This window comes from Homo sapiens, chromosome 11 (genome assembly GCF_000001405.40).
Source record: "Homo sapiens chromosome 11, GRCh38.p14 Primary Assembly".
NCBI classification, from domain to species: domain Eukaryota; kingdom Metazoa; phylum Chordata; class Mammalia; order Primates; family Hominidae; genus Homo; species Homo sapiens.
The window spans coordinates 113333522-113349048 of NC_000011.10; the positions used below are offsets into that span (position 1 = coordinate 113333522).

General features: G+C 42.3%; 1 protein-coding gene across 9 annotated transcripts in view, besides 1 other annotated feature; it reads left to right on the top strand.

Moving 5' to 3' along the window:
• TTC12 (tetratricopeptide repeat domain 12) overlaps nucleotides 1-15527 on the top strand; it is a 58715-nt gene that overhangs the window by 18939 nt on the left and 24249 nt on the right. For 6 of the 9 annotated variants that reach the window (NR_147891.2, NR_165392.1, NM_001378064.1 and 3 more), the window contains 6 exons: nucleotides 1445-1516; nucleotides 5253-5313; nucleotides 5765-5953; nucleotides 7143-7212; nucleotides 8316-8404; nucleotides 10751-10919. Coding sequence is in view for 6 of the 9 variants with exons in the window: in NM_001378064.1 (NP_001364993.1) it covers nucleotides 1445-1516; nucleotides 5253-5313; nucleotides 5765-5953; nucleotides 7143-7212; nucleotides 8316-8404; nucleotides 10751-10919 (650 nt within the window). In the remaining 3 variants the exon portion in view is untranslated. Of the gene's footprint in view, nucleotides 1-1426; nucleotides 1517-5070; nucleotides 5149-5252; nucleotides 5314-5764; nucleotides 5954-7142; nucleotides 7213-8315; nucleotides 8405-10750; nucleotides 10920-15527 lie in introns of all 9 variants that reach the window. The other 3 variants (NM_001378063.1, NM_001318533.2, NR_165393.1) reach the window with 3 other exon arrangements.
• Nucleotides 10450-11649: an enhancer, noted in NCBI's record as "MED14-independent group 3 enhancer chr11:113214693-113215892 (GRCh37/hg19 assembly coordinates)". NCBI's record gives its function as "activates an origin of replication core promoter dependent on BRD2, BRD4, P300/CBP and CDK7 cofactors, and independent of MED14, by STARR-seq in HCT116 cells {active_cell/tissue: HCT116}" and the evidence as "EXISTENCE:reporter gene assay evidence [ECO:0000049][PMID:35650434]".

A 15527-nucleotide genomic window follows, 5' to 3' on the forward strand; every position in this document is an offset into this window, starting at 1 on the left:
AGATTTCAAATTCCAGCTCTTCCGCTTGTTATCTGTGTGACCTTGGGCCTCTCCAACCCCTAGTTTTCACATCTATAAGATAGGGATAATAACTGTATCTGCTTCATAGAGTTGTTATAAAGCTTCTGTGAGATCATCCATATGAACCATAAAGCTCAGTGCCTGGCACATGGTTTGGGCTGAACAATCATGCACATTTATTTTTATTATGACTTCCATTCACTTAGCAGTGAATTGAGAAATGATATACACAAAAGTGTATCTCTAAAAGCTTCTCCAACAATTATTGTTCTCTCTTTTATTATTGTTGTTATTCTTCTCTCTTTTATTATTATTGCTCTTTTATTAAATTTAGATTTTCTCTTTTGCTCCGAAATGAATTGCTGCTGATATAACTGCAGCAATAGCAGCTAATACTCTGTTACCCAGAGCCACACCAAGTGTTTTACATAATTTCTTTCTCACAACAACCTGAGAGAGATACTATTATTGTCTTCATTTTCTAGGTCAGGAAAATGAGTGTCAGAAAAGTTAGGCGGCCTGGCCAACAACACGCCACTTCTGCTGAGTAGCAGAACAAGGATCCACCCCGGGACATTTTAGACTCCCGAGCTTGAACTCTTAACCTCTTCATATCTAAACCTTTGAAGGGCATCTGATTTGGCACAATGTCTTGCATATAAAAGAAGTTCAATAAATGTTCATCAACTGGATGTCTTAGATTTAGCGTATGTCTCTGTCAAATCATTCCCTGTGGAGTTAGAACAACTAGGGGCAGGCAGGTGCAGGGCCTCCTGTGTAAATGGTCTAGTTTCAGCCATAAGTTTCAATCCTGCCTTTTGAAGGGGGCATCCCTACTGATCTTAAGTAATATGAACAGAAGGTCCCAGTACACATGTTGTGGTTTATTTGGGAGGAGGGACTTCCCAGGTCCACTAAGATATAATGGTAACCTCAGCTGTTTTCTTAGAGTAAGTTCTCTTCTCTTCTAGTAAACCAGTGACTCTCAAACTTGCCTGCACATTTACCTCACCTAGAGAGCTTAAAAAATTATTGATGCCTGGGTCTTATCCCAGAGTATAATGTAATTGACATGGGGTGCAGGGCCGGCAGGATTTTTACAAGCATCCTAGATGATTCTAATGTTCTGCCAGTGTTAAGAGCTCTTCTAAACTGAGGGTTTGCTTCCTGATTGCATCTCATTAAATGGAAATGAAAACTGGCAGGTATCATTAATTAATTTGGTGAAGAGCTTGCTGCTGCATCCAGGCTCCTTGCAGGCATCAATTAGTTTGGTCACAAATGCATAAAAAAGTTTTGTCAACTCTGGTAGTTGCCCTGAGAATCAAAGTTTCGCCTTAACTCTTTTAGCTGTATAGTGAGGGGAGTGGCTAATGACTTCACATCTTCTAAAACTTCTGATCAGTCATTCTCTTTTATGCAGTGTGATGAAAAATGCACAAAAGCATATTTTCACATGGGAAAAGCCAACCTGGCCCTGAAGAACTACAGTGTGGTAAGTTCTTAGAGGAATGTAATTGACATGTTTGATCACAGACTGATGCTCCCAGTTGTGCTAGAGGAGAACCATGATTCTCCAAGCTGATTAGGTATTAATCCATCCTTTAGTATTTTCCAAGGTAAAGCTCAAGATCTTAAAGTTGGGAAGAATTTTGGGTGTCAGTTAGTTCAACTCCACCAGCTGTAGGACTCTCTTCTGCAACATCCTCTACCAGTGTTTGTTCAGTCTGTGGAGAGAAAAGACCTGAGCAAAAAGAGAAAACAAAATTTGCTGTAACCTCATCACCCAAAAGTAACCATGCAGATCAGTCAACCTGTCTATCTACCTATTTATCCATGCTAAGATATTATATATCGTTAAAAGTAGCTTTATTGAGATATAATTCACATACCACACAATTCATCTGTAGAATATACTAAAAACTATATGATTCAATAGTTTTTAGTATATTCACAGAGTCAGGCAGCCATCACCACAATCAATTTTAAAAAATTTTCATCCCTTCCTAGGAAAACCCCATACCCATTAGTAGTCAGTCCCCTTCCCCCAACCCCATCTCAACGTTAGGCAACCATCAGTCTTTCTGTCTCTATACATTTGCCCGTTCTGTAGATTCCATATAGAGTCATACGATCTGTGGTCTTTTGTAACTGAGGTTGTTCACTTAGTATAATGTTTGCCTGGTACATTTTTGTTGTAGTGTGTATCAGTTCTTCATTCCTTTTTATTGCTGAATAATATTCCATTGTTTGATACCATATTTTATTTATTTATTCATCAGTTAATGGACATTTGGGTTGTTTCCACTTTTTGCCTGCTATGAATAACACTGCTATGAACATTCATGTGCAGGGTTTTCTTTTTTATGTTTACAGTCCTCTTGGGTATATATCTAGAAGTGGAATAGCAGGGCCGTATGGTAACTCTATGTTTAACCTTTTGAGGAACTACCAAACTGTTTTTGAAAATGGCTGCAGAATTTTACATTCCTACCAGTAGTGTATGAGGGTTCCAGTTTTTCCACATCCTCTTCAATACTTGTTACTTATTTTTTTATTATAGCTATTCTAGTGGGTGTGAAGTGATATGTCATTGTGGTATTTGATCTGCATTTTTTTGGTGACTAATGATGTTGAGGATCTTTTCATGTACTTGTTGGCCATTTATATATTTTCTCTGGAGAAATATCTTCTTTTATAATGAGGTGTAAATGTTATTTATATATTCTGAATACAAGTTTCTTATCAGATACATGATTTCCAAATATTTTCTTCCACTCCTTGTATTGCCTTTTCATTTTCTTGATGATGTTCTTTGCGGCACAAAAATGTTTAAGTTTGATAAAGCCTCAATTACCTATTTTTCTTTGGTTGCTTGTGATTTTGGTGTTATATCTAAGAAAAGATCATCTAATCCAAGGTCAGGAAGATGTATACCTATATTTTCTTCTAAAAGTTTTATGGCTTTAGCTCTTAAATTTAGCTATCTCCAATCCATTTTGAGTTCATTTTTTGTATGATGTGAGGTAAGGGTTCAACTTCATTCTTTTGCCTGTAGATGTCTACTTGTCCCATTACCATTGAGTGATTTTGGCACCCTTGTCAAAAATCAATTGACCATAAATATATGGGTTTATTTTTGGACTTACAGTTTTATTCCATTGATCTACATGTCTGTCCTTGTGCCAGTACCACAGTGTCTTCATTTTTGTAGCTTTGTATTAAGTTGAGAAGTGAGAGCCTTCAACTTTGTTCCTCTACTTTTTCAAGATTGTTTTAACTATTCTGGTGCTCTCAAATTTCTATATGAACTTCAAGATTATCGTGTCGATTTTTGCAAAGAAACCAGGTGGAATTTTGATGGGTATTACATGAATTCATAAATCAATTTGGCAAGTACTGCTATCTAAACAATATTAAGTCCTCCTATCCATGAACATAGGATGTCTTCCCATTTATAAGATATGTCTTTAAAATAAATTGCTTCATATTGTACATTTTTTAAAAGTTTGTTGGACTTTAATTGTAAATGTAATACAGGCTTATTGTAATAAAGCCAAATAAAAGAAATGTGAATAAAGAAAATGTTAATCTTTCCCTGTCCACCAATTTTTATTTACTCATTCAATTCATTCATTCAGCAGATATTTATTGCATGCTTTCTATGTGTCAGACACTGTTAATACAGGCAATAAAGAATACATCAGTGAAACTAGACAAAGTCCTTGGCTTCATGGAACTCATGTTCTTGGGGTAAGGGTGACCAGGAGACAAAAAACAATCAAATAGATGTGTAGTGTGTTACATGTACTATGTTAGGTAGTGGTAAGTAGCATTGAGAAAAATCAGGAAGCAGTAAAGATGAGACTGGTTTTATATAGAGGGGTAAGAAAAGGCTTTCTAAAGGAATGGAGGGAGTGACGTGAGCAAACCATGTGGATATATAAGGGAATAAGTTCCTGGTGGAGGGATAGCTAGAATGCAGCCAGCAAGAGGAGAGCAACAGGAGATGAGGTCAAACAGGTGATAAGGGTAGAGAAGGGGCTGATCCTATAGGGCCCTACAGGCTTTTCAAAGGACTTTGGCTTTTACTTTGAGTGATCTTCAAGCTTTATTGAAGGATTTTGAGTAAAGGAATTAAATGATCTGACATATTTTAAAGGATTACTCTGACTGCCATGCCGAGCATGTGTTTTGGCATGGTAAGATAAGAACAGAGAATGAGTGATAAGGCTATTGCAATAAATATCCAAGCAAGAGGTGGTGATGGGGACCAGGTTGGTGGTGATGGAGGTGGTAAGAAGTGGTGGGATTTGGGATATTTACTGACAGTGAAGCCAACAAAAATTGTTGCTAGATTAGATCTAGGGTTGAAGAGAAGTTGGATACAGGGTCACTCTGATATATAGACTTCTGTTCCTGCGACACTGTTCTCTACTTTAATGTGTTATTGTTTTCCTTCAGTTTGTTTCTTAACTCTAGTCTTCTAGATGAACCTTGAACCTTCAAGATTATCTCAGAACTGTTTTGTTGTTGTTGTTGTTGTTGTTGTTGTTTTCTGAGCGTTTTCTCTAGGTGACTAGTTAGATTATACTCTGGGCAGTTCTTATATTCTTGTGAGAAATACTGCCCTAAGCCCAGGAATCCTATGAACTAGAATCTTCCTTTTTCTGGTAACTTTCTATCTAGCAGTTTCCTCAATGAGAAGCCCTCACTCTTGAGTTTTCCAGCTGACTCTTATGTGGCCAATAAATGGATCCCTTACCGGTTCTCTTCGCAGCTTGTACATTTAACTAGGCAGTTCTCTTTTCCTGTTCCCAAGTCTCTGTCAACATTGCCTCTAGCTTCATTTATTTCCTAACTCCATATGGACATATTTGACAGCCTCCTTTCTCAGTGCAAATATCATATCTAAGTTTTGCGTTTACTTTATGATTATTTCTATCCCAGACAGACATGATCCACAAGAATTTAGGACTGGATATTTTTCATCATGAGCATCTAAAATTCTTTAAAACTAATTTTGAAATAATTCCTGTTGCCCCCTAGAACTGGAGACGCCTGAACAAAAATGTCAAATGCACATTGTGTTCCTATGCCTGTCTCCTGCACTGGGAGCAGGAGGAGGTGAGGAGAAAATAATGAAGCAGCCAAGCCCAATGACACCCAGTGTCTTTCTCATAATCACCTTTACCCCAACCACTCTTCAAGGTCTTGTTTCTTTTTTCCAGTCTAGAGAGTGTTATAAGAAGATCTTAGAAATAAACCCCAAGCTGCAAACCCAGGTGAAAGGTGAGCACGTTCCTGCTGAGGTCCTTCATCTGAACTCCACCTCCCTCTGCCCCCTGCCTTAGAATGCCTTCCGTGCTTTCACTGCCCTTGGCCACTAGGCAGCGGCGGATCCTCTTTCCTGCACAGTTGGGTCCTCTGTGTTAACCAGCCCACTCTGCTCCTCTGTTTGCTGTGCTCCCTTGCAAATAGTAATATTTTCCTTCTTCATTTTCTACACCATCCTCCCTTAGACACTTTTAGACTCCCTTGAATCCCCAACAAGGTTTAAGATTCTGGTTGTAGATTTAGACTGTTTCTAAAATTTTCCTTGCTAACGAAGAGTTTTAATTATTTTAATGCTTTATGCTTCTCAAACTCCCATCCTCAAAAGAAAGGAAAAAAAAAGGTTGCTTCTTGTGTGGTATTGTTGATTGTTAGGGTTTTGTTTTGCTTTCCTTTCTTGTTTTTCTAGGTTACCTGAATCAAGTAGATCTTCAGGAAAAAGCAGACCTTCAAGAAAAGGAAGCCCACGAACTGCTGGATTCAGGAAAGAACACAGCCGTGACCACCAAGAACCTCCTGGAGACCCTTTCCAAGCCTGACCAGATCCCCTTGTTCTATGCTGGGGGGATTGAGATCCTGACTGAAATGATAAATGAGTGTAAGCCAGAGATGTGTGTGATCTCATGAGTGCTGTCAGTGTGAAGGGACACATTCAGAGGTCTGCCTTTACCAGGCCAAGAATCCCTCCCTTCCTTCCACAAATATTGATTAAAGATATACGCTAATGTAGCTGCTAAAAGGGGTGCACAAGAAATGTCCTCCGACTTCTGCTCCATCCTCTCTACAGAGCATGCGTACACTCAGCACACATGCAATAAACATACACAACACAACACGTACACGTGGCACACACTCGATATATACTTACATACACCACACATGCACTCAGCTTTCACTCACTTGAATATATCCTTGTATTACACACACACCACATACCACACACAGCACACTCACACCATAAGTACTCATGTCAGTCCACATATCCTGCGCACACTCCACCCTCACATTTTCACCACACACCCCATGCACATCCTGCGTGTACTCCACACATACCCCCACAGACACCTCAAGCATCCCATACCACCTCGTACACCTTCCCTCCACTGTGGAGGAATGGAAGACAGAATTTTGTAGGTTAAACTGTAAGGTTCACCCAGTTACAGTTAATGGCTGCATAGGATGTGAAAATGGTTTCAGAGCAAACATCAGCTCTCCTACTAATGAGGGCCATACTGTTCTCTTTTACTAGCTCTTGTAAACATTGTTACCAAGGCTTAAATAATCTCTATACTCAGTGACAGCATGTTGTTTGTACAAATAGATGGAGTGTCTGACTTCTCTTTAGTGTACAATGGAGGGCACACAAATATCCCCTTCAGCAGTTTCTTGGAGATTATAAATTCCTCTCTGGAGCTTGGAAATAGCTTTGAAATAAATATTTAAGAACAGATGGATATGCTGGTACTTCCCATAGGTTAAGCAGCTCTGGGAGGCTCTCTGAAGATTACAGAATGATGAGCTGTGCAGATAGCCCTCGGGGCCACCCCAGCTCTGCTCTCCTTCTCTAAACAGTCCCTCCGCCTGAGAGGCACTGAGGCCTCTGACGCTGAGAGGCTGCTGACCATTGTATGTTTCAAAATGTAAAGTTCATTTGTTCCTGCCAAACCATTCACGTGGGTACCGTGGCATTCCATATTAGGTTTCTCATTAGCAGGTGGCTGTGTTGCAGCGAGACACCAGCCAGCCAGTTTGGGAGTCTGAAGTGGTTTTCTTTGTATCTGTTTCAGGCACAGAACAAACTTTATTCAGAATGCACAATGGATTTAGTATCATCAGTGACAACGAGGTCATAAGAAGGTAGGGATGTTCATAGAGACAGCCCAGCAGCAAAGCAAGGGAAGATAACCACTGCTTATGAAATCAGACACGAGGCACATAGACAGTCACGTTTCTGAACATTACCCCCCTTCAGTCAGTAGTGGGGGGCTCTCCAGGAGTGCAAAGCTACTCCACGAACATCTTTGAGTGCTTTCCCTCAAGACATTGGAGTTACACTGCAGCTAACAATTGAGGCTGGGCGCGGTGGCTCATGCCAGTAATCCCAGCATTTTGGGAGGTCAAGGCGGGCGGATCACTTGAGGTCAGGAGTTTGAGACCAGCCTGGCCAACATGGTGAAACCCCGACTCCACTAAAAATACAAAAATTAGCTGGGCATGGTGGCAGGCACCTGTAATCCCAGCTGCTCAGGAGGCTGAGGCACGAGAATCGCTTGAATCTGAGAGGCGGAGGTTGCAGTGAGCCGAGATCACGCCACTGTACTCCAGCCTAGGCGATACAACCAGATTCAGTCTCAAAAAAAGGAAACAATTGAAGAGAGAGGAACAGCAGCACTTCCCAGGGCTCCTCTAAGCTCTTCAAAGTCAGAGAAATGATCATTCTTGCTGCTTTCCCACCAGTTTTTGCCAGGTTGTCATTTGTTCATTTCTTCTTTTGGAATTTGCTGATCATATCAAGAAGTGATATAAATATAAATGGGCCAATCCCATTTATAATTTCATCTGAAGAAAGACCTGTATGGTAGGATGCAGTTTGCTAAAGTGACTGTATTTTCATTTCAGTTGTTCTGGTGTGCTTCCTGAGGCTTAGGATACCCGTGTGGGTTGGAGTCACCAGTACATGTCTGTGTGCTCAGCCACAGTTCATTGGTCCCAGTGCAGCCATCGCCCATGGCCCTGGCTCACTGCCCAGCCTCTGTGCAGCCCTGGCTTCCTCAGTCTGCATCCGTGGCCTGGGACTCATGGTTCCGTGATTGATCCTGGTGACCCATGGCTCTGGATTATAAAACTATACTTTCTCAAACCTGTATTTGGTGAATCTAGGGGTGAAATAAAACCAAATGGAAAAGAAAATCAAGACTGATTTTCAGACTTTTAAGATAGCTCTCCTTTGTCCATTCTAGGTGTTTTTCCACAGCAGGAAATGATGCAGTTGAAGAAATGGTCTGTGTGTCTGTTCTCAAGCTCTGGCAAGCAGTGTGCAGCAGGAACGGTAAGCCTGGGTAATCACCGTTGATCACCATTAATGCGCTGCGTGCAGGAACTACGCTGTTGGGTGGACTGTCCTCCCCAAAGGCCAGGCCCTGGAAAGCTGATGTCTAGACTTCCGCACACACCCACTCCCTCCAGGAAAGCTTATGGATCAAAAGCAAGGTAGACAGATGAGGAGCAAGGTTGGGGTGAAGGGAGGAGGTTGTCAGCATAATGAGTGGTCTCCTCTCTCCTCTCCTCCTGCTCTTTGCAGACTCATGACTTCTGTTCATGCACTGGCAATGAGGTAGATGGAGTTTTTCTTTTCTTGTCAGCCTAAAATATTGTTCCTTTTTGCTAACCACAGTACCTTTCCAGCATCCTGAGATTTACAGTCATCCCTGCCAATATCTTCAGACACTGATTAGCATCTAGTATTGAGACAGTAGAATGCCATGGGCATTTTATTTACTGTGCTAACTCTTAGGCTTTTCAAATATTTGCATCTTCCAGAGTTCATTACGTTTTTGTATAATCTTTCTTAATCACTTTTGTAACTTCAACATAAATACAAATTTTACTTACTTCTGTCATTTTTAAAAAGTGTGTTTCATAGGAAAAAGTTTGACCCTGGACAGAAACACTGAAAATGGGGATAATGATAGCTATGTCTCCTTTTCACAGGGCTACTGTGGGGAGCCAGCAATAGAGCTTGTGAATGCAGTTTGCATACTCTGAGATGTTAAGTAGGAGATAATACCTTTTTTTTTCTTCTTTAGTAGAGTAGAGGAATCAAGAACTTAAGAAATTAAGCTCTTGAAAATCTAGACAATACAAAATCAGGGGGCCTATTTCCTGACAAGAATTAAGGGGAGTTATGCCCAGACTACTGTCATCATCAAGGTGCCTTTCTACTCTGTGTAAGACCCTGCACCAGCTTAGGGCAGTGTTTTTGCAAACTCCCCTACAGGAGGGCGAGGAAGGCAGGACTTGGCAATGGTATGTCTACTCAGTGTGAATCTGACATAACAATCTGTTTACTCTTTCTGTGAACCTATTTATCGTTTCTGTGAACCTTAAAGTTACATTTTTTTATCATCTGAAAAATATTTTCAGATACCTGTGATGTAAATGCTGTATCACAGGTCAATAAAATCTTGATATATCTAACTCAATAAATGCAAAGCAGTTTTTCAGAAGGGCAAGGGAATGCTTAAAAGTAAGGACATGAAAATATGTCAGTCATCTATTGTGGAGTTGAGAAGAGAAGCCAATTACAGGGTAGGATGTATAATATTTTACACATTATTTATATGAGGGGTGAATAATAGCTCCTTTGGGGAATGGGCTTACCCGGAGGGGGTATCAACTAACTCTGTGTTGTTTGAATTATTTATATCAAGGTACTTTTCTAGTATAAGAACAAAATATATAATCAACAAGGACCTTTCCATTTCAGAAATCAGTAGATCCTATCTTACGTGGACAAGAGTAATTATAGGTGAAGTATAGGATTGAGATGTAATGTTTGCAACGAAAACATGGTTTGATATGTGGGCTACACATAGGATCCTGTAGTCCTGTTACTCTGGCTCTTTCAGGGCTAGAAGAGACCTGGTGTGTGTCTTCTACTGGATGCCGTGTGCTGTGTGTAAATGGGTAATCAGTACAGGAGGGAAGAAAGCCAAGGGTGATGAGGTCCAAGTGATGGGGCCCACCCCTTTGAGATCCAGTTTGCTCTGTTTCCTAGCTTAGCCTCATACTGCAGTCTGTACCCTGCAGTTTCAAACAAATTCATGTACCTGGTCAGAAAATGAACCAGACTGCCACCACCCTGGAAGAGCTTATGTTCTAGGAAGGAGGGCACACTTTATTCGTTAGTGCTCTCATGTGATATTCTAGTTTTCTGGATAACATTTCCTCAGATGACTACTCTAGCCGTTGTATGAATATTGATGGCCTAAAGACGTTCCACAATTAAACTGATTTATTTCCCTTTGCTAGTGTTTCCAGATACCACACACCAAGGAAGTTTGACAATAATGACACAGTTGATTTATGGGTGCCAGTCCCTGTCTGGCACAGTCATGTACTAACTTATTTAATCCTCATGATGTCCCTGTAGGTAGGAACGTAATCCTCATTTTACTGATGAGGAGACCGAGGAGCACAAGAGTTCATTGGTAAGGTCGCTCCCCTGGGCATTCGGACCCAGCAGTCTGGTTCTAGAATCCACACTCTTACACTTCATTATTCTGCCTTCAAATGAGTGGGCACCAGTTGAGTTTCCCATTAGGATAGAGGGTGACAGAGCTAGTTTAATTGCCATGATGGCATGCACAAGACACACAACCTCTGTGTTTTGCAGAGGAAAACCAGCGTGTGCTAGTGATACACCATGACAGGGCCAGGCTGTTGGCCGCCCTCTTGTCCTCCAAGGTCCTGGCCATCCGGCAGCAGAGCTTTGCCCTGCTGCTGCATCTCGCCCAGACTGAGAGCGGACGGAGCCTGATCATCAACCACCTTGACCTGACCAGGTAAGCCTCTGCTGGCAGGATCTTCCTGGGACATCTCATGTCATCACTTGACAAGTTCAGGCATGCCTGTCTCCCCTCCTATCTCTGTTGTGTGACTTGAAGGATCAATAACAGAAAGAGCCTTTGACAAGAGTGCTCTGTCATGAGGACCTCTGGGACAGACTCCTGTCCGAACTTGGTACCATGGATGGTTTCACTTCTCCTGAGCAACTGGCTCGTCCCCATCCCACAAATGGTGCAAATGGCAGTGCTTCCGTAGCCAGATCAGGAGCCCCACCTTAAAATAGGTCACTTGCTTCTCCGTCTTTGGCCTCGGTCCTATCTCTACCCTGTTCCTGCCATTCGTTTTCTTCTTTCATTCTTATTTGAGGTAATCCTGTCTTATTCTACGTGTCCTTAAACCCTTTGTGGAACAAGATGGAGTATGAATAAATAAAACATTTCAAATACTGTTGCATGGAGGTCTTTCCAAAGTGTAAGACTATGGGCATAGAATGTGTGTACCCTAAGTAGACTTTCTAGAAAGATTACTGAACCACAGTGATTCTGCCCCGTCCTTTATAATTTATTAGTTTATTTTTTAAATCATTTATTTATTTGTTATTTTGCTCACTTGTTTTACGTATTTATTTACTTTTATCTTACTAAGTTTTCAGTTTATTTATCTTTACATGATTAGTTTGAACATATGAAATTGCCACTTATTAGATCTAAAAGGTTGCATGCCAGCCATTTTATGTGGTTCAATCTAACAGAAATAGTGGCAATTATTGTAGCTTGCTTTATAAATGTTTCTCACACAATCTAAAAACAGGAGATGACCCTTCTGAGTTTTTTCATTCACTGCTATTTTGTTTTATCTCCCCTCATCCTGCGGGGTAGGCAAGGTAAGCTTTATTACCTCATGTCACTCATGGGGCAGGAAGAACTGCAGCAAGGAACCAAGGGAATCTCACCCAACTAGGCTGGCCCCCAGGTACTGTTCTGAGGACCCAGCTCCGCTCTGTGTTCCCAGTGGGAAAAGGAGCCAAACCTGCTACAACTGGCTCCTGTTCCTTCCAGATCTTTTTGGGACCCTGCTGAGCCCTCCCACACTGTCCAATTTGGTATGTAGGTCCATGTGTGCCGTGACAGGATGGTTATTAAGCCTTGCCTACGGCTCCCCTTCCAGGCCCAGTCGCAGCCTCAGTGGCTCCCAGGAAAGGCTTTGGCAACCCACTGAAGCTCAGCCTGCACGGCAGATGCAGATTGTTAGTGGAGTTCAATTCCCCAAAAGCACATTTCACATTTCAAATGACTCTGCAGTCATTTCCTCGATACCTTCATCGTATTTTTTTAATATTGTTTTTGTCTCTTTGAGTAAATGTAGCTATAGCTATCATGAGCTTTTCCCCTCAAGCTATCTTTGAATTGCTTGAGCTTCAATGTGCATTTTTCCAGTGTCTCGGAGAGTGGCGTTCATGATCACCTCGGGTGGTCCTGCCTACTCTCTCTAAGATAGTCAGAGAAACCTCAGCTTTTTACTTTTATGCCCACTAGCCTCCTTAACGTTCATCTCCAGTTGAACCAGACAGAATGGGTTCTCTGTGATGAAACGAGGCAGTTTGAAGCAAGACAGGGCTGCTGCACATAGCCCCTTGACCGTCACGGCAGCACACGTATCACATTCCTCCCACAATGTTTATCCTCAGAGAAGAGGTTGAAGGCATGAATGTGTGCTGGCCAAGGGCCAGTGTCATTTTGTAAAAAGTGCTGGGTTTTAGTCTTAAGCGTACTGAGTTTCAATTCCCTGCATGTCTCTGCTTGTGTGACCCAGGAAAGTTATTTAGCATGGACAGGCCCCGGCATCTCATCTGCATCACTCACTTATGATGACACGGGGGGTGATGCAGTTGAATTTTTTCTGCTGCATTGTGCAGAATACTTGAGCAAAAGGAGCTTAAGCAAAATAAAGCCTGGCTTGTTTTGTCACCTAATAAAATGAGACTAAAGATAGCAGCTATTGGTGCGGTGGCTTAAAGACGTCGAGGTCCAAGTCTCTGCCCTTCTCTTGACCTTCCTCACATGGTCATACCTTCCCTCTTGCTGCAACTCCAAGCTTCACATCCTTCTTTAAGACAGGTCAATACCAGCTGGATCGGTCCCTTTTATCAAGAAAACCTACTGCCTATTTCTCTTTGGACAGAATTGTGTCACATGCTACCCCTAGTGGAAAAAAAATGGTCCCAACTTCTTCTGTAGTAGAGTTAGGAAGAATAGAAGGGAATGGAGAATATCTGTGAGGTTAGCCAGCAAACAGCATCTGCTACAGAAAAAAAAAAAAAAAAAGCAACTAACATCAATTAAGCCTGACACATGGTATGATAAGGGCTCAATAATATTTTTATAATCATTTTCTCTTAGGGTATATTGTTTAGGGTCCTAAACTGAAGTAACCTTGCATTTATTAGTTACATGAAAGCATTTTCTCACCTGTGGTTCACTCACAGAGACAGCTGCTTATCAGCAGAGCAGAAAATCTGCCACCAAAAAAGAGGGTATGTGAGGAAATAGAAAGGGACACACCGTCCTCTCTAGGTGCTGAGTCCAGTTAGGATGTGTGCATTGTCACATAGTGAGGGGGCCTAGCTGCTTATGTCTGCCAGGACAAAGCCAAGATGGTCTTAGACTGTTGTCTCATCTGTGCTATTCAGGTTCATTAGCAGTCATCTTCAAGACCGAAGAAAATAGGTTTAAATTGGTGAAGGATGAATCTGAACTAACTGTAAAACAAATAAATTATTTTTGACAGCAGGAGCACTGGAATCCATTCCTGAAGATGTTAGGGATTTGCAGAAGCTTGGCGTCACCTGGGCCCTTAGAAACCATCCAGTCAAGCCCCACTCAGCATAGATGTCCTCTGCGTACCCCCATACAGCCTGTGCATGGTGCCCTCCAGGGGAGATGCCAGCAGTTTTCATTATTTTTAATCTCCATTTGATTCGGGATGGGCACTAACGCAGCTAATAGACTGAGTGGAGGAAGTCTTTCCCCAATTAGCGAGAGGCTGTGGATCTCACCTCCCAAGGTAGCCAACTGTCCATTTCAAGACAGTTCTGATTGAGATAAATTATCTCCTTACACTGTGCACAAGTTGCCTGCCCCGTACTATTCTGGGGCTGATTCTGCCTCCATACACTGAGGCCCAGGCCCAGACTCCTCCCAGCTTTCCAGTACTTTAGATATCTGAAAATACTGATATATTCCAGGTTAAGCATCCTTGTTACCTCCATCATTCCTTTGATGATTTGGCCTCCAGACCACTCCTAGAATAAGTGGCTAAATAGATCCAGCACCATAGATGTGGGTGACTGGAATTCATATTCCCAAAAGCCCAATCTGATGGCCTGTCATCTGTCTTTCTTAAAGATGTCAAGGTCAAAGTCCCTGCCCTTCTCTGCCCTGTGGCATTTGGTCCTATTGATCACTACTCTTCTGGAAACTCCATCACAGTGATTGTCAGGACACCATCCTTCCTGGCCCCTCTCCTACCTCCTGGCTATTCCTTTGTGGTTTCCTTTGCAAGCCCCCCTATGCTATCACCCTTCCAAGTCAGGGACCCCAGGATCCTACCCTTGGCCCTCTTCCCATCCATGGCTTTCGTCAAGAGGCAAAGGGTGTAAGTCTCACTCTGTTGAGTGTGAGATGAAAACGCCCTTCTGCCACTGGACATCTCTATCACAACATCCACAAGTATCATCGACTTAATAAATCAAAATTGGGTCTTCACACCAGTTCATCTACCTGAATTTCCTGTCTTCACAGAGGGTATCTCCACCTATCCAGTCGCCTAAGCCAATGTCCTGGAAGTGACCTGGCTCTCCCTCACCACATCCATAAGATAGTATGCTGCCAGCTCTTTCTCCTTAGCATCTCCTGAATTCATTTTCTTCTAGTTCTCCTCTACTGTCTCCAATCATTTCTTCCAGGTCTTCATGAGTGTCTCTTTGTGTTTTTACTGTACCTCTTACTCTGCTGCTGCCTCAGTCTGGTCCCTTAGCCTTTATTATCTGGACAATCACAGTTCTCCCCTGGTTGAATTCCTGCCTCTTGTACTACCTGCTCCAATCCAGCCTCCACCATACACTGAAGGGATTTTTCTAAAATGCACATCTGTTCTGCTATTTTCCTACTTAACACACTGAAATGACTATTCCTTGTAAGGCTGGTTCTCCAATTACTGAGAAATATAATGGCTAGGAATCACATGAGGACTTTATAAAAAAGCAGCCTCCTGGAGCTTCCTCCCACTCAGAGTAACTGAGGAATCTGTCCCAGAGACCCCCACCACCAACCACACATTGGAGAACAGGGGCCAACAGGGCAAAGTACAGACTTTCCAGCAGGCCCTAGAAGGCCCCCAGGATCTGGGCTCTGTCCAGCTCTCTACCATCCCCTGTTCTCCCCTCACATCCTAAGCATTAACTGCATGCCAGCAGTCCCCAAATGTGCTCCTGCAATTCTATGCCCACATAGTCTGTGACTACAGGCTGCTTTGCCTGACATGCCTCTGTACCCATCCCTGTGGGCCCGACACTGGCCTGCAAGCTGCCTGGAGCCAGGACATTG